The sequence below is a fragment of the Homo sapiens genome, chromosome 13 (genome assembly GCF_000001405.40).
Source record: "Homo sapiens chromosome 13, GRCh38.p14 Primary Assembly".
In the NCBI taxonomy this organism is placed as follows: domain Eukaryota; kingdom Metazoa; phylum Chordata; class Mammalia; order Primates; family Hominidae; genus Homo; species Homo sapiens.
The window spans coordinates 44967724-44987228 of NC_000013.11; the positions used below are offsets into that span (position 1 = coordinate 44967724).

General features: G+C 39.5%; 1 protein-coding gene across 2 annotated transcripts in view, besides 1 other annotated feature; it reads right to left on the bottom strand.

Moving 5' to 3' along the window:
• Window positions 1-19505, bottom strand: part of NUFIP1 (nuclear FMR1 interacting protein 1) — a 50223-nt gene that overhangs the window by 28475 nt on the left and 2243 nt on the right. For both annotated transcript variants that reach the window (XR_941559.3, NM_012345.3), the window contains exons 2-5: window positions 14349-14431; window positions 12999-13097; window positions 12167-12229; window positions 11467-11543 (exon numbers count right to left, since the gene is read on the bottom strand). Coding sequence is in view for 1 of the 2 variants with exons in the window: in NM_012345.3 (NP_036477.2) it covers window positions 11467-11543; window positions 12167-12229; window positions 12999-13097; window positions 14349-14431 (322 nt within the window). In the remaining variant the exon portion in view is untranslated. The remainder of the gene's footprint in view (window positions 1-11466; window positions 11544-12166; window positions 12230-12998; window positions 13098-14348; window positions 14432-19505) is intronic.
• Window positions 5411-5705: a silencer, noted in NCBI's record as "tiled region #6953; HepG2 Repressive non-DNase unmatched - State 8:EnhW". NCBI's record gives its function as "represses a minimal TATA promoter and a strong SV40 promoter by Sharpr-MPRA in HepG2 cells {active_cell/tissue: HepG2}" and the evidence as "EXISTENCE:reporter gene assay evidence [ECO:0000049][PMID:27701403]".

Genomic DNA, 19505 nt, shown 5'->3' on the forward strand with positions numbered 1-19505 from the left:
AATCTGACAGAAGTGTGCCAGATGAACTGCTTTCTTTGTTTCTCTGCACAGCTGTGTGGAGATGCAGACACCAAACTTTCAGGAAGAGGGCAATAGATTCTAGGAGTATAAAAAACATAGAAGGAAGGGAACACAGCTCTCTACTACCCCGTCTGGCTGCTGATCAGAGTAAGTTTGGAGAAACATCAACAAATGTGTTCTGCCATTGCTTCTAGGACACTTCTCTACCTTCTGCCTTTTTTTTTTTAACATTTGCAACACTGACTTGAATAGCACAGACAATATATAAAGCCTATGGGTGGGCCATACTGAAAGACAGGAATGGAAATGACATTGGGTAAGTGGTTAAGTAATCAGAAAAAAAATGTAATGAATTTCAATGAGGACAGTGTGAAGCAATATATATCCAGTCAAGAAAAATAGACTCCATAAAAAAAGATGATTAATGTACAAACTATAAATAAACATAAAAGGAAAAGATCAAGGTCATAGGAGATAAAAATCTGACAGTCAGCAATACATGACTACATTTTTCGAAAGCAAACATAATCTAAGGTTATAAGAAGTAGACTCTGGCACTTGTACGAGTGTGAAATCTTCCTCCAGGATACTCAAAAGCAGTCAGATAATCTCAGGGCACTGTGTCCAGTTCTGTACTTCTAAACTAAAGGAACACTGAGAAGAAAAAAAAAAAAAAAAGACTTGGAAGGGATTCAGAAGAGACTCAAAGATGATTAATAGGATGAAAAATAAAACCTCCAAAGAAAGATGAAAGGAACTATTTGCAACCTTTAAAAGAAGATGAGAAGCGACAATAAAAATAGTTTTACAGAGAGGATGGTCCAGTTGTTCTCAAACTGAAGAGAATATGCAGAAGTAGAAATGAGAAAAACAGTAATGATTTTTACAGGCCTCACAGTGGCGAGACATGTAACTCACAGCTACTCAACACCCTCCACAATTCTCAAATTTACTTATTACTTAAGTTTCTTCAACATTTTTGCAGAGTATTGCAGACTCTTACCATGTTGGGCTATATGTTACATGATAAAATTTGGCACTACAGTGTACTACGTACCAGAGAGCAGATGCTAGGTAACTGCTTTTCATTGGTAAAGAATTTAAACTTGTTATAGCAAGTGGATTTTAGGTAAGATATAAGAAAGAGTTCCCTAAGTGAAACATCAAAGATGTGATGTGTAGAAACTCCTTTGATGGAAGCCTTTTAAAACAGCTAATTTTCTCTTTCAGGCAGACTGCAGTATCATGTTCCTAAAGGTAAAGAAACTTAACTTCCTAAAATTAAATATCATGTTCCTAAAGGTAAGGAAACTTGTCTTCCTAAAATTAAGTATCATGTTCCTAAAAGTAAGATTAGAGTTTTAAAAAGTTGTAAGATTTTATTTTTCTTGGTGCTGAAATCAATAAAATCCTCTTCCAAAATTTATTACATTCTTATTTACACAGAATCCAGATATTTAAAACTAGAGAGAAAAATGGTTGCTAAAAAGCACATTATCGCAAAAAAGAAAAATCAGAAACACAAGACCTAATTACACACATAAACAACAGTAGGAAGCCCCACTCCACCAACATGAAGCTGAGATAAATGAATAACGAAAAAAAAGGAGTTCTGATGAAGGAGTTCAGGTTCCTAAAGTACAAGAAATAACAAATCCAAAGACTATTGAAAAAACATAAATTATGTCTTACATTGCAGTTACATACATGTAAAGCTTAGTCCAATATCTCCTGTTAGAGAATGGATAATATGAAGTTATAAAGACCGTGACAAGGGAAATTTTCACAGTTGGTTTTTCTATATTTTTATCTACTAAAATCATTTTCTCCCTGTACTTCTATCTTTCCTCAGTTCACTAAGAGGAAATGGTCCTGAAACTATGCTCTTTTCCTTCCTCTCTTCTTTCATTTTTTACCTCTTCTTCACCTTCCTCATTGCCTATACCTTATGCCTCCAGTGACAATCTTTAAGCACTACAGAGCCAACACATGGGCAAACCGTCCTAACCATTATCTTAGCACAGACCATTCTGGTCACATTATTCTCTCCAATTTTTTCCTTATGCTCAAATCACGACCCATTTATTGGCTTTTCCCCTCTGCCTGTTCTATAAAACATAGTTACTCTTCCCACTCTCATTAAACCACAACTGCTTCCACACAAGCTACACTATTGTACTTTTCTTTCTGAACATCAAAAAGATACAGCATTCTTTAGAGCAGATCTCCTGTGTTGGAATTCTGCATGAACCAGGGAAACAAAAGGATTTCCTCAGAGCCACAGTAAGCGTTGAAATAAATTGTAAAACTACTCCACCTAGTGGACTCCCAGTCTGCTGTGAAAAATGTTCCACTGTTTCTATAATAAAAGCAAGGTTTTGGAAACAAACCTCTACCACTCATTTTCCCTAAAGCCAAATCATACAGCATTGGTACTACATAGGACAGGAATTAAGAAAGAATAACTTTTTTTGGTGGCTTTTTTGGGGAGGTAGGGGAAAGGCTATTAATGGAAAGCCTTAAAAGTTATTAAATTAAATACACTCGGTACCCCTGAGTCTGACTAACCTGAAAAATACAGAGATGTAGAAGTAAGGACAAAGATGTACTTTTGTCAAAGATAAGGAAGCCATATGCCAAGCAAACCTTCAGTTTTCTTTAAGCTTTAAAATTCTTACTCTGTGAAATCTTTCACAAGCTTTTCCTAACAGAGCAACTACATAAAGACCTTATTTTTCCTGCATGTCAAAGAATATAGTGGCTTCATCGGAAAGAATGTAGCTCTCACACAAAGATCAAATTCATGAAATAAGGACTATTCTGCCACACCAATGTGGAACTTACTCTTTTTAGGAGTTCAAGTAATATTTTTTAAAAATTGAGAATGACAGGAATGTAGAAAGTAAGTATATTTTTGTAACAGGGTTTTTTTGTTTGTTGTTTTTTTATTGAGACAGTCTCACTCTGTTGCCCAGGCTGGAGTACAGTGGCACGACCTTGGCTCACTGCAGTCTCTGCCTTCTGGGTTCAAGCAATTCTCCTGCCTCAGCCTCCCAAGTATCTGGGATTACAGGTGCGTGCCACGATGCCCAGCTAATTTTTTTTATTTTTAGTAGAGATAGGGTTTCGCCATGTTGGCCAGGCTGGTCTCAAACTCCTGACCCCAAGTGATCTGCCTGCCTTGGCCTCCCAAAGGGCTGGGATTACAGGTGTGAGCCACCACGCCCGGCCCATAATAGGTTTTTAAAAAATTGCTAGTGGGGATAGTATTTATGCATTTTTGAGAAATCTATCAAACATACCAAAAGAAAAGCAGTATTTCCCATATCCTCTAATAAAATATACATACAGAAAAAATATATATGAACTCTTCAGAATATATTAAAGAGCAAGAACCTGAGAAACAAACTATGGAAGAACCTCAGATGAACTCACCCAGTGCCCAAAGAATTTTCAGAGCACTTACTAAACAAAGCAACATCACAGGTATAAATAAACTTCATCCAAAATTGCCATCTTCACCCCATTTCCTCATTCTCTTTAAACACCTCTAAATTTCACAAACCTATAACCTCACTTATTCCCTCAACAGATTTTGCCCATTCCTCTTCCAAGGCACTTCTGCCTGCTGTCATAGCATACCTCTGGAAACCAGAGCTAGACTCTATCCCCTCAGCCCCCACCTGTCCTACATAAAAAGAGCCACCAGCAAGCCTATTAAATGCTTGCTCAAACCAATCCTTTATTCAGAAGGACAGAGCCGCTTCCAAAATTCACTTATAGTTTTGAAATTCCACTGTGCCACCAAGAACTAAAGCAAACACTGACTATTCTCCCCCATTCCTTAACAATTTTGTTTCAGGCATCCCATCAACTCCACTGCCACTGAAGGTGGTCAAGCAGCCCACTTCTAGCCAATGAGATCTATATAAATTATCTCCTGGTTGGAAATAAAAACAAAGCTACTGTTTTCCCAGTGAAAAGGGGGGAAACTAGGCTACGTGTACCTTTTGTCTTTTTCTCTTCTTTCTGCCTATTCTGTGGCTTAATATTTGCATATGCAAGAACATTCTGGTGACAGGCAAGAGGAGAGCCGCCTACTCCGGTGCAACAAGAGACAGCCTACGTCCATGGTACTGTCATGCAGCAACAGCAGCCCTGGATTTATTTTTTTTTTAACCTTGGGAAAATGACACCTCTTTGCACTAAGCCATGGTAGTAAGGTTGCCATTCCATTTCCTAGAGCATGACTAGCTAATGCAAGCACCACTGCACCCTACCATCTCCTTTTATCTGAATACTTTCCATGCTCAAATAGGCTTATCTTGATTTAAAACTATCCTCCTACACAGTTTGGCAGTTTCTCATAAAGTTAAACATATGCTTACCACATGACCAACCAATCTCACTCCTGGATATTTATCCAAGTCAAATAAAACCCTATATTCAAAACAAAAACCTATACGTGAATGTTTATGAAGACTTTATATAAAGGCTAAATACTGGAAACAACACTCAACTGAGAACGGATAAACAAACTGATATACATCCATACTATGGAAAAGAGTAATACTCGGCAATAAAAAACAAACAACTGCTACATGCAACAACATGGATAACTTTCAAATGCAGACTAAAAATAAGTGAGTCAGACTAAAAAGGCCACATACTGTATGATTCCATTTATATGATGTTGCTGCAAAAGTATGAATATAAGAACAAAAAATAAATCAGTGGTTGCCAGTGGGTGGAGGGGAGGCTGCCATCAGGGCATAAGGCAATTTTTCCAGGTGAAGAAACACTGTTCTATATCTTGATTCTGGTGGTATTTATATGACAGTATATATTTGTCAGAACTATCCACTAAAAAGGGTGAATTTCACTATATGTACAATATACATTAAGATAAACTGGGGGAGGGAGGCCTCTTATAGGAAGTCTTGAAAAACAAATAGACGGCCCTCCCCTCCAAAAACTCAAATATCCCTTGACCAGTCAGGATTATCCCTACATAGCTAAAATTAATGCTTCAGTTACTTGTAGTCTTATGGCCACCTCATGTGTATTTATTCATTTCACACTACAGTGAGAACCTTAAAGGCAAGAAGTTACTAGTGTTTGTTTTGGTGAACTCAGCCACATATAGCAAAATCTTTGTCCTTTCAAATACTGAATGTTTACCTCTAATTTTCAAACTAAACTATTGTCAAGAAGTTATGCAAAGATAAGCAAAATGTCTGTTAACATATATTCAAAGGTTGCTGAGATTTCTTGCTAACATTAGAAAATCAAACTAGTCTTCTATCAGGAACTTTAAATAAATACATGCTGCCTATGCTAGTTTTCATCTTCAAATATTAATGTTTCCAAAGTTTCTCTAGCCAGTGGAAATTTTTTCCTTTAATCATTTATTCACGAAACCACAAGGGGGCATAGTTCACATTCGTGTAGGGAAAAGCCATTAATACTTTAAAATACGGATGAATTTGGTTTGTCCCAGTGATGGTCTACCCTACCCTATGTAGTGAGAATTTAATGTTCAAAACCACAGCAGTTTAAGTACTATTAGTTACACTATAATTTCCAAGCATAATTATTAATCATATCAAAATATTTCTGCCCAATTTCTCTAAAAACAACAAAGATACAGCTCAAACATGATTTATAAATACAAGTCTCAGTAAGACTTCTCCAACCACTTACTTGTGTGTACCAAAACAGAATTATACCCATAAGAAAAATATCTTCAAGCACCATTTACACACACTAACATTTATAAGCATTCCCTATAACTATGGCACTATGGGATAGAAGCAGCCAGGTAAAAGTTGGTTCTTACATTTCAGAGCTCACACTTAATTCAAGAATAAAAGACACATATGCAAAGAAGTTCACCAACAGGGTCATAATAAAGGATATCTGTGCTAAAGAGGCAGAAAGGAGATACCATATTCAAAGAAGGGCAAGACATTTCTCTAGGCAGATGAGAAAAAATATACCCAAAAGTGGATGGATTTCAGATGAGCTAAGAGCAATGAGCAGAACTTTAAAGATGGAGTAGGTAAGATCTTCTAGAAGCAGCAGCACGAACAAAACTAAAAGGGCGAAAGTTCACAAACCCTGTATGAGATATGATAAATAACAAGTTTGACTGAGACAAAAAGCCCCTATAAGCAAATAATATGGAAATAATCAGAAAAGACAAGTTAAGCCCACATTATAGGATTCTGGTTTCCAGTTCTATGGAGTTTTATTCTCATAGGCATTTCAGCTGATTAAAAATAAAATCAGTTTAACAAACTTTTAAATTTTACACTACACAGTCATCTACATAACTAAGAAACATATGCATATTGAACATCTAATTTTGCACCACAAAACAACAAATACAAAGAAAATACCCTAAACTTCTCTTTGGTCAAGTCAACTCCTTAAGTCAGATAGCACTGCCCAAGTGTTCACTTGCAGACTACATTTCAATTGTGTGGTTTTCTTGAACAGGATGTAGCAACTGAGCCAGAGCTGGGATTTTGCCAGATGAGTGCAATGGAGGATAATGGAAGAAGGAAGCTGAGATATCGACAAGAGCAGCCGAAGTGAAATAGGCTGGGTAGGAAGTGAAGGAAGAAGGAAGATAAAAGAAAAACAAGGTAAAGAGGATGGGAAGCCTCAACTATTCCAAGCCCTGGTAGAGATCACAGTGAGCTGGACGGATGGAAAGAGGAGTATGTCCAACTTTAGAATCCAGGATGTGGTCATGAAAGTAAGTGGCTGAAACTGCATGAAGGTGAAGGGCACTGGAAATTTGTTTTGTTTTGTTTTTTTGAGACAAGGTTTCGCTCTGTTACCCAAGCTGCAGCGCAGTGGCGTAATCACAGCCCACTGCAACCTCAAACTCCTGGGCTCAAGGGATCTTCCTGCCTCGGTCTCCTGAGAGGCTTGGACTACAAGTGCCCACCGCTGCACCTGGCTAACTTTTTATTTTTGTAGATACCAAGGGTATCACTTGGTTGCTCAGGCTTGGCCGTTAGAAATCTGAAAGTGAAAAGGTACTGAATGAATTCAAAATATACACAATTCCACTGCAGCATCTAACATGCCAAGGGCGAGTGACAAAGGCAATCAATCCCTGGGGAGGGTGTGAGACTTGAAGACAGATGGCACAGAGCTCAAAGGAGAAAGGCCAAGGAGTAATCATCTGGAATCCTCATCAAGGAGGCCCTGTGTATGTCTCAACATCAGTCACTTTTAGTTTTTGTTTTATTTGACCTTTCCATCGCAATCTGCACTGCTAACCATATCTTCCTTCTCAAAATTTTCCCCTCCACTGGCTTCCAGAGGAAGTTTTCTTCTACCTCTCTGGTTCCCACTCAGCAGGCTTGTTGGATTTTATTCTCTATTAGACCTTCGGATGTTGGAAGGGCTCAAGGTTCAATATTAGGCTACCTTCTCTTTTCACTCTACCCTGTCTCTGTGGGGAATCTGTTCCATATTCCCAGTTTCATGACTCAAAAAACTATCTCCAGTCTAGTCTGGTCCAAGTCCCAATGCCTACTCAACATCTTCAAATAGATGCCTCAGGATCTCCTCAGACTCAACAATGTCCAACCCAATACCTCCAAAGCCCATCCTCTTCCAGTGTTCCCCACCTCAGTAATAAGAACCACCTTTCATAGAGGTGCTAAGCCTAGAAACCTGGAAGTCTCCTAAAACCTCTCTCCTCTTCAACCTCACAATCATTTAATCCCCAAACACTGCCCATTTTCACCTCCCAAATGTTCTACATCCACCTAGTTCTCTCCATCCCCACAACTGCCATCTTTGTAAAGCTTCTATTTTCTCTTACCTATACTCACAGTTCCTTGAACATGCTAACCTCTGTCTGACCACTAATCCCTGCCTCTCCTTATCTTTTCCTAGTTAGTTCTGAATTCAGCTACCCCTGCCTTTGTCATGAAACACCCTAATCTTCCAGACTAGATGAAGTCCCCTTCCTCTTATATGCTGAGCAAGGGAATAGCAGAGGATAGTGGGAGAGTGAAAGTGCTATAGACATCGTAGAAAAGAGTAAAGTTGGTTACCATTAATTTAATAGCAGTTCCACATTTCCCAGTTTAAATTATTTAATTTATACCACCACAAGATAGAAGAACCGAAGTTGGCAAATCAGGAAGTCACTTCAGACCTTCCTTATACCCTTCAGTAAACTCAAAGCTTCAGAAATTTAACTGTTTAGTTAGATAACTTTTAAGTTGCTTTACAATCAATGCTGACTAGTAACCGCTACCATTCCCCTCAAGAGAATTAAACATTTATAAAAGGGACTGACACCAATAAGTTGAACCAACCTCTAACTGATCAAAGTCCAGGCTAAGTAGTAGGGGGAAAAAACCTAGTGTCTTAGCAGTTAGGCCACTTCCATCCCATCCAGCAGGATACAATCTTCCATACCATCGTCATCAGCTCTTTATAATGTACATATCAGAAACGAAGTGGAGTTAACTTCTTGTTTGATTACTGCTCTATGCAAAAAATGAAAGAAGAAGGAAGGAAGGAGAAGGAGAAGAAAGGAGGAGGAGAAGAAAGGAGGAAGGAGAAGAAGAAAGGAGAAAGGAGGAGGAGGAGGAGGCGAAGGTGAAGGTGAGGAGGAGGAGGAGAAGGAAGAGGAAGAAGAGAAGAGGAGGAGGAGGAAGAGGAAGAGGAGGAAGAGGAAGAAGAAAAAGAAGAATAACAACAACAAGAGGAGGAGGAAGAAGAAACAACCAATAGATAGAAAAGAAACAAGCAGAACAAACAAAACATTTTTTAAAAAGTCCAGCTACTTGGGGAGTGGTGTCATGAGGAGAAAACCTTGTATCTATAAAGAAGCTACCTACAGAAGCCAAGGAACTTCAGATACCGTGCTTCAAAATTCCTATGTCAAACTACTTCATGGTCTCAGTCCATTTTATGTTGCTATAACTGAATACATCATAAGATTGGATAATTTATAAAGAAAAGAAGTTTATTTCTTACAGTTTTGGTGGCTGGGTGGGAACTCTCTGCAGAGGCCCAAGGCAGCAGAGGGGCAAGGGGGCTCACAGGAGACAGGCAAATTGATCTTTATAATTGACTCACTCTGATGATAACAAGCCCACTCCCTTGACAATTCACTACTCCTTTAATCCATTAATCCACCAATCCATGAATGAATTAATCCATTTATGAGGGTTCTGCCTTCATGACCCATCACCTCCCAAAGGTTCCCACCTCTCAACACTGCCACACTGGGGACCAAGTTTCCAACAAATGAACTTTTGGGGGACACATTTAAACCACAGCATGGTCCACACTCCTTCAACTTCTAAGTTTGACCTTGCAATTGGCTAAGGCTCCCTTATCACTGCCAAGGTTAAGTATTCCCACACTACACTGTTTAAGTACTTCAGTCAACAAATATGTATTTCTCACATACTAAATTCTAGGCACTGTGCAAAGCACAGCAGAATTAAAGATGTATAAGACCAGGGCCAACTACAATGTAATGTGACAAATGTACTATGGTTGTATAAATAAGCTATGTATTTGCAAAGGAGGTAGTAAATAATGCTTTAGGGTAGTGTGTTTCAGGGACTGGCAACCAGCCAATCCACACACACCAGAGTAGAAATCAACTACGTCACTAAGCATGATATTTAGTTCAGCTGGTATTTTTTCATTTTTTTCTTATCAACAAAGGAAGTAATATACTGATTTACATTCTGGTACAAGCTCTTTTGTTACAGACTGGCACTCTGGTAGCACTGACATAGAGGTGGTGAAAAGTAAGGAGAGAGTAGTAAGTCAGGCAACCTTTAAAACAAGCCTACACGATAAGTAAGATTTTGCCAAAGAGATCAAAGAAAAAGGTATTCTAATATACTCTACTACAGGTGGCCTAGATTCCTTCATTTGCTAGCCACAGATGCTCTTGAAATGCTATATTATGTCCACCAAGTCCCGTTGACTGGTTGGACCTGACTTGTTTAAAAATTGAATTCCTCAGCTGGGTGTGGTGGCTCATGCCTGTAATCCCAGCACTTTGGGAGGCTGAGACAGGTAGATCACTTGAGGTCAGAAGTTCGAGACCAGCCTGGCCAACATGGCGAAACCCCATCTCCACTAAAAATACAAAAACTAGCCAGGTGTGGGGGTGCACGCCTGTTATCCCAGCTACTTGGGAGACTGAGGCAGGAGAATCACTTGAAACCAGCAGGTGGAGGTTGCAGTGGGCTGAGATTGCGCCACTGCACTCCAGCCTCAGTGACAGAGACTCTGACTCAAAAAAAAATTGAATTCCTCTAACTGTCCCTTCACCCTTATCCAACTCTTTCCTTTGTACACAGTATTAATACCTGATACACTTTCGTTGAATTATATTTATTCTCAGTTCTGAATCTTCGTGCTTCTGCTGGTCTTCCTCAGAATTACCTCTAAAGCCTTAAAGGGCAGCATCTAACTTTTTCACAGAAGAGTACATCTGGCACATCACCACCCACGACAGTGGATTTAAAGTGAACCTTAAACTAAGGCGAGCCAAGTACAAATGTAACCTGCTGCTCATAAGAGTCTGAAGTATCTTTCTTGCCCTTTAAGGATAGTTCTTCTTGTTTTCATCCCAGGCTCTCTTCATTTTTTAATTCCAGGAAAAGAGCAGTTGACTTTAAAAGTGCAACTGATCATTACAGTAGTTCTGCATAGTCTTCTGCTTCAGGATGAAGTGTTCTAGTATTTTCTGAGAAGGCAGTATAACAGTGCCCTAGTGGAATTTCAAGTATATTACAGCTAGACATCAACTAAACTTTCTTCCTTAGTAAGTGTAAAACCACAGGTTACATGGTGATGCTCAAATTTCTTTAATCATAGGAATGAATTCCTGATCTTCTCATTGTTAAGAACAAGCACCTGTATCTCTTATCCTTAGCACCTGTGCATCTTATTTAGCGGTAAGCCTGGGATGAAAACAAGAAGAACTATCCTTAAAGATCAAGAAAGATACTTCAAACTCCTTTGAGCAGCAGGTTACATTTGTACTTAGCTCACCTTAGTTTAAGGTTTCAGTTTAAATCCACTGACATGGGTAGTCATGTGCCAGATGTACTGTTCTGTGATAATACACTTCTGTATAATACACTTTTTGGTAAGAGTACCCACCCATTATTGCCTCAACCACTGAACATCTGACAGGTGACATGCAGTAGCCCCCCTCAAAGAGCAACATACAGTCCCATTATGACACATTTGCTACTTAAATGAAGAGTTCTTATTAGGTCTTCCTAAAACTACGTTCAATAATAGTCTTACATAATATGCCTTATGGTCCTCTTCCCTAGTTCCAACATTCTAAGGGAATTCAATGAATTTAACTACATTAATAAGCCTTGTCACAGTAAAACAGTTATTTCACCAGTTCTGAACTCTACTCACTTCCTTCTTTCTTCCCTCCACCGTGCAATTTCCTCTGGAGTGTCTAACTTGATCTTCTTCATGCCAGGAGCATGCATCTAGGGGGAAAAAGCCTGCTGAACATCAGGAGGCAATATCATATGCTTTTGACTAACTTGGAGACTTTGTTTCTACAAGTAAACTTATGTTGGACACAATTTTAAAACCAAGTAAGCAGGTTGTATCTATTTGTGTTATAACTTTTCCTTTAAAGGAAGAAGAATCTATCATGTATTTAATTAGTGCTATTAATAGAGGGAAAAGGGGTAACATAATTTTGATTACAAAGTAGATATGCCACCCATTCTCTCAAATGACATTAAACACCCAAATGAATGACTTACCAATCAAAACCTAGAGAGGCCACTAAAGATATGAGTAGACGTGACAATCTGTAGCAGCATGGTGTAGTAAAGCAGTATACAATTTGGAGTCAAGAAACTGAGGTCCAAGAATCAATTCTCAGGCCTTGGGCAATTCATTTTTTAAAATATTTTAAATGGGGCCAATATAAACAACCATAGTTGTTTGTGAGGAAAAAGTTGAATAAATGATGTCAAAATCCTTACAAAGTACTCCATTAGTGTTACCTATTATTAGGTATATAAATAAACAGTTGTGAAGATAACAGATCAATAAAAAGAGCATGTATTTAAAAATAGGATAAAAAAACAGAACTTACATTTCTCCAATGGAACTGGACAATCTTCTCGTGTGCAGTAAAAGAGCAATCTAATTCAGGGCACTATGAGTTTTTAAAAGAAAAAAAAAACTATTTAACAAATGTTTTCCATGTTAAATTTACCCCACTATACATACACAGACATATTCTGGCTGTATTACATAGTTATCCCATCTGTATAGTATTATCTCTGCATACAAAAATGACTCCAAAACAGGGCTGCCTTTAGGCAAAGGAATGACACTCTCAGAGTATGTGGCACAATAATATATCTTATTTACTTCTCCATTTGAGCAAAGGCATACATCAATAAACCTGTGAAATGCTCTTAATTCCTAAAGTTGAGGGGCATTCCCAAAAACAGAAAAAGAACCTTTCAAAACCAAAGGCTTCCTTTTAAACCTTTTAAACATTTTGGTTAAAGTTTTCTAGCTAGTACCTGACAAGGTGTGGACCAGCCTTTGAGGGTGATAGGCACAGCCACATTACACAGTATGGTTTAATGGTCAAGGGCAGACTTAAAGGGGAAAGAACTCATTAAGATGCACAAGGTAACTAGAGGAGAGGACAGCCTCTTCCCAAGCAGTAGAGGTACACACATACAAAAAGCTGTCAGAGCTCCCTTCTTTGCTACCATCTTACCTCGTCCCTGAAGCAGCGGGATCCCCACTTTCAAACCCCAGGGTCACTGCCCCTATCTGTCAAGTTGTCAAACTATATCTCTACAGAAACTATAAACTTTAAAGGAAAACAAGCTTGGCATTTCTACCAAATATACAGATAGAAGAAGCACAATTGCTACATCAGTTTCAGGACAACTAAGAAAACCTACTTTTGTATGTTCAGACATGTGTTTGTCATACTTTTCTTGATTTTTAAAACCACGATCACAGGTATCACAAAAAAAGTGAAAAACTGGTTCCTTTCTTTTCTGCAAACAAAAACAGAGAGGAATTAGGCTTTTGGTGAAAAATCTGTAATCAATAATAAAAACATAACTATCATTCTAGTAATACACACTTTGATGTTTCCAATAACCCTTTCGTGTGGGAGAAGCTTGTGAGTATATTTCCAATGAAGAGATTATTCTATTTCTTTCTTTCATTTTGTTTTTAACAAATATATTAGTGAAACCCAGGCATAATTTTAAACTTTTTTAATCCAAATAGTGCTAATATAAATTATGAGCAGATTGCAAATTGGTTATCTAATTAAGACTCAGTACAGAATATGTTGAAATGATCTGAAAATAAATAGAATAAAAACAGCAGCTCATCTTTTAGAAAAAAATAACTACAGCTGACCCTTGAACAACACAGGTTTGAACTGCAAGGGTCCACTTATAAAAGGATTTTTTTCAGTAAATATATTGGAAAATTTTTTTGGAGATTTGTGACAATTTGGAAAAACTCACAGATAAACCACATAGCCTTAGAAATATCAAAAAAAAAAGTATGTCAAGAAGGTATAAAATATATGTGGACACCATTTCATTTCTATACTAACCGACTATTTATGTTATTGGTAAGACTTCCAGTCAATAGTAGACCATTAGTAGTTAAGTTTTAGAGGAGTCAAAAGTTACACACAAACTTCTGACTGCACCTCTAACTGTTGCGTTGTTCAAGTATCAACTATATGGCCAGGCATGGTGGCTCACGCCTTAATCCCAGCACTTTGGGAGGCGGAGGTGGGCGGGTCACTTGAGGTCAGGAGTTCGAGACCAGCCTGGCCAACACAGTAAAACCCCAACTCTACTAAAACTACAAAAATTAGCCAGGTGTGGTGGTGCGCACCTGCAGTCCCAGCTACTCTGGGAGGCTGAGGCAGGAGAATTGCTTGAACCCAGGAGGCGGAGGTTGCAGTGAGCCAAGATCGTACCACTGCACTCCAGCCTGGGCGACAGAGTGAAACTCCATCTAAAAAAAAATAAGGTAAAATAAAAGTATCAAATATATATCTATTTCTAAAACCACAGAAAAGAAACAAAAATTTAGTTATGTATTATTTTTGAATCCCAATTTGCTATATTCATGTTTAACCATAAAATTCCTTTTTATAGCAAGGCTCCACTGTGTCAATAATGGAAGCAAAACACTGAAGACAGTTATGACAGAAATGCAAGATATGAAACAGTAACATAGGGACCAAGGGGTCAAATTCAAGAACATCTTTCAAATACCTTTTTTTTCTGTTTTCTACTGGGAGGTAAGCTGAAGTCTGTGAATTTTGCATCATACTTTCGTGGATAATAAGAATTTTTAACTAAAAAAAAAAAGATCCATAAATGTTTGCAACAATGTAATTATTTAAATTATAATTAAATTTTATCTACTACAGCATGTTACAAATATTTCAGTAAAAACACTAGTAAACTACCCTTCTAGGAAGAATACTAGTTCAAACAAAATAACAAAGATTAAGATTAGTCTACCAAATGACTATTTTTCAAACAAAGAAAGACTGGTGTGATTATATGTCCACAGAAACTTTAGGCGTCAAAGTGCAGAAATGGACAACCTAACCTGATGAAATTCCTTCGGTTATTTCAAATATTAGAAATGTAACCAGTAAAATCCCCAACACTGCTCCTTCAGCATCAATTTCGCACCAGGAAAACAGAACCTTGTGAAATATATCTCCTCTCAAATCCCACTGTACTTTTCCATTCTTATTACCATGCCCCAAGTCAGAAATTCTGATCTTCCACCAGATTACTCCTATATTGTCTTCCAGTTCATAAGCCCCCTCTTCCAACAAACCTTACATACTGACACCAAAAAAAAAAAAAAATTCTCCAATCCTGTCACAACCTGGCTCAAAAATTTGCATATGGACCAGGCGTGGTGGCTCATGCCTATAATCCTAGCACTTTGGGAGGCTGAGACAGGAGAACTACTCAAGGCCAGGAGTTCATGACCAGCCTGGGTAACCTCACATGACCCCATCTCTACAAAAAAATTTAAAAATTAGCTTGGCATGATGGCATGCACCTGTAGTCCTAGCTACTGTGGAGGCTGAGGTGGGAGGATCACTTGAGTTCAGGAGTTTGAGGCTGCAGTAAGCTATGATCATGCCACTACACTCCAGTCTAGGCAACAGCACAAGACCCTGTCTCTGTCTCTTTTAAAAAAATTATTCTTTGTATAGAGATGGGGTCTCACTATGTTGCCCAGGCTGATCTCACACTCCTGGGCTCAACCGATCTGCCTGCCTCAGCCTCCAAAGTCCTGGGACTGCAAGCGTGAGCCACCATGCCCAGCTGACCCTGTCTCTTATTTTATTTTATTTTTTTTGGCGGGGGAGATGCAGTTTCGCTCTTGTTGGCCAGCCTAGAGTGCAGTGGCACAATCTTGGCTCACTGCAACCTCTGCTTCCCAGGTTCAAGCGATTCTCCTGCCTCAGCCTCCCGAGTAGCTGGGATTACAGGCATGTGCCACCATGCTCAGGTAATTTTCGTATTTTTTAGTAGAGACAGAGTTTCACCATGTTGGCCAGGCTGGTCTCGAACTCCTGACCTCAAGTGATCCACCTGCCTCGGCCTCCCAAAGTGCTGGGATTACAGGCGTGAGCCACCGCACCCAGCCCCCCGTCTCAAATAAAAAAAAAAAAAAAGTTGAGGGAGGGGCTGGCATGATGGCTCACATCTATAATTCCAACACTTTGGGAGGCCAAGGCGGGCAGACCACTTGAGCCCAAGAGTTTGAGATCAGCCTGAGCAGCCTGGCGAAACTCTGTCTCTACAAAAAATACAAAAATTAGCCAAGCTTGGTGGTATGTGCCTGTAGTCCCAGCTACTTGTGAGGCTGAGATGGGAGAATCACTTGAGCCCAGCAGGTTGAGGCTGCAGTGAGCCATATATGTGCCACTGCACTCCAGCCTGGGCCACAGAACAAGACCCTGTCTCAAAAAGCAACAATAATAAAGGATGAGTTTGACCTTCTCTCACTCTCTCTCACCATGTGATGCCTTTCTTGATGTCACCATGCAGCAAGAAGGTCCTCAACAGCCCCTTGATCTTGGACATAACCTCAAGAACTATGAGCCAAATAAATTTCTGTTCATTATATATTACCCAACAGGTCATACTCTGTTATGGCAGCACAATAGGGACTAAGACAGCTTCCTAGAGACCTTCCATGAGATTCTAATTTATTTTCTTACCCTACCCTTCCCCATACCTTTCACATACTCTGCTTCAGTCACACCAGAACCCTGCAATCTCCAGAACTTGCCTTGTACTGACACCTCTTTCTCTACCTAGGAAACATCTCTTCCCAAATTCTATACATCTCCTAAGACACTTCTTCCAAAAGCTTTTCCCAATTTCCTCTACATTCTGAAATCAGCTATTATATGCCTCTATCATCAGTCACACTGTATTTTGATTCATACTTATAACATATCTCATCTGACTCAGCCAAGTCCGTATTTCCAGCATCTGCCATACAATAAACACTAACTGTTTGGGCCAGGTGTGATGGCTCATTCCTGTATTCCCAGTGCTTTGGGAGGCCAAGGCAAGCAGATCACTTGAGGTCAGGAGCTCGAGACCAGCCTGGCCAACATGGTGAAACCCAGTCTCTACCAAAAATACAAAAAATTAGCCAGGTGTGGTAGTGCGTGCCTGTAGTCCCAGCTACTCAGGAGGCTGAGGCAGAAGGATCCCTTGAACCCAGGAGGTGGAGGCTGCAGTGAGCCGAGATGGTGCCACTGTACTCTAGCCTGGGTGACAGCAAGAGACTCTATTTAAAAAAATAAATAAAATAAAATAAAAATAAAACACTAATTGTTCAGATTCAGTTTAATGCAGAATTGAATTTTTTTTTATTATTATACTTTAAGTTTTAGGGTACGTGTGCACAATGTGCAGGTTAGTTACATATGTATACATGTGCCATACTGGTGTGCTGCACCCATTAACTCGTCATTTAGCATTAGGTATATCTCCTAATGCTATACCTCCCCGTTCCCCCCACCCCACAACAGTCCCCAGAGTGTGATGTTCTCCTTCCTGTGTCCATGTGTTCTCATTGTTCAATTCCCATCTATGAGAGAGAACATGTGGTGTTTGGTTTTCTGTCCTTGCAATAGTTTACTGAGAATGATGACTTCCAATTTCATCCATGTCCCTACAAAGGATATGAACTCATCATTTTTTATGGAATGCAGAATTGAATTTTCTGCAAAGTTGGAGAATGGTTTTAAATTAACACTCTTGTAGCTTGAAATATGATCTATATGGTGTCAACACCCAAATTTATAGCTCCAGCCACAAATCTCCCCTGAAAGTAGACTAATAGCTAAAAGCCTATTCAATATCTCTACCTGACACAAATATATTCCAACTTTAATTCCTGGACTTCCTTCCAAATCTGCTCCATCCACATTCTTACCTATCTCAGTTAATAGCAACTCCATCCTTCCAATTGTTTGGCAAAAAAACTTTAAATTATCCTTCTCTCCTCTTTATCTTGCATCCCATATATCCTATCTTTCAGTAAATCATGCAGTCCCCACCTTTAAGGTATAAAAGCACATCTCATTTCACTGCACTTCGTTTTACACAGCTTTTTGCAAGCTAAGGGTCTGCGGCAACCCTACATCAAGCAGGTCTATCAGCACCATTTTTCCAACAACAATGTGCTGTCTTTGTGTCACATTTTGGTGATTCTCGAAATATTTCAAACTTTTTCATTTTTATTACGTCTGTTATACTGATCTGTGATCAGTGATCTTTGATGCTACTACTGTAATTGTTTTGAGACACCATGAATCGTGGCCATATAAGATGGTGAACTTTATAAATGCTGTGTATGTTCTAACTGCTCTACCAACCGGTGGTTCTCCTCTCCCTCTCCTCAGGCCTCCCTATCCTCTGAGACGCAATATTCAAAAGTAGGCCAATTAATAACCCTATCATGGTCTCTAAGTGTTCAAGCAAAAGGAAGAGTCACATGTCTCTCATTTTAAATCGAAAGCCAGAAATGATTAAGCTTAGTGAGGAAGACACGTTGAAAGCTGATACAAGCCAAAAGCCAGGCCTCTTGTGCCAAACGGCTAGCCAAGTTGTGAATGCAACTACTGAGAAAGGGTCTCACTGTCAGCCAGGCTGGAATATAAAGGTGCAGTCATAGCTCATTGCAGCCTCAAACTCCTGGGCTCAAGGGATCCTCCTGCTCTGCCCTCCTGAAGTGCTGGGATTACAGTCGTGAGCCACCGTGTCTGGATGAAAAGTTCTTGAAAGAAATCCACAGTGATTCATAGATAGTGATTCCTCTAATGGATCTGAGCAAAGTAGATTAAAAACCTTCTAGAAAGGAGGTTTTGATTCACTATTCAAGATACCATTAAGAACATTCATGATTTATGGAAGGAGGTCAAAAGATCAACATTAACAGGAGTTTGAAAGAAGAAATTCCAACCCTCATAGACGATTTTGAGGAATTCAAGACTTCAGTGGAGGAAGTCACCTCAGATGTAGTAGAAACTGCAAGAGAACTACAATTAGAAGTGGAGGGGCCAGGCGCAGTGGCTCACGCCTATAATCCCAACACTTTGGGAGGCTGAGGTGGGTGGATCACGAGGTCAGGCGATCGAGACCATCCTGGCTAACATGGTGAAACCCCATCTCTACTAAAAATACAAAAAAATCAGCCGGGCGTGGTGGTGGGCGCCTGTAGTCCCAGCTACTAGGGAGGCTGAGGCAGGAGAACGGCGTGAACCTGGGAGGCAGAGCTTGCAATGAGCCAAGATCGAGCCACTGCACTCCAGCCTGGGCAACAGAGCAAGACTCCATCTCAAAAAAAAAAAAAAAAAAAGAAGTGGAGCCACAAGATGTGACTTGCTGCAATCTCATGGTAAACCTTTAATGGATGAGAAGTGGCTTCTTATGGATGAGGAAAGAAAGTGCTTTTTTGAGAAGGAATCTACTCCTGGTGAAGATGCTGTGAACACTGTTGAAATGACAACAAAGGATTTATAATATTATATAAACTTAGTTGATAAAGTAGCCTCGACTTCCTGGGCTCAAGGAATCCTCCTGCCTCAGCCTCCCATGCTTCTAGGACCACAGGCATTCCACCACGCCTGGCTAATTTTATTTTTTTTGTAGAGACGGGGGTCTCACTTTGTTGCCCAGGCAGGTCTCAAACTCCTGGGCTCAAGCAATCCTCTTGCCTCTGCCTCTCAAAGTGCTAAGATTAGGCTGGGTGCAGTGGCTCACGCTTGTAATCTCAGCACTTTTCGGAGGCCAAGGAGGATGGATCACTTGAGGTCAGGAGTTCGAGATAAGCCTGGCCAACATGGTGAAACCTTGTCTCTACTAAAAATACAAAAA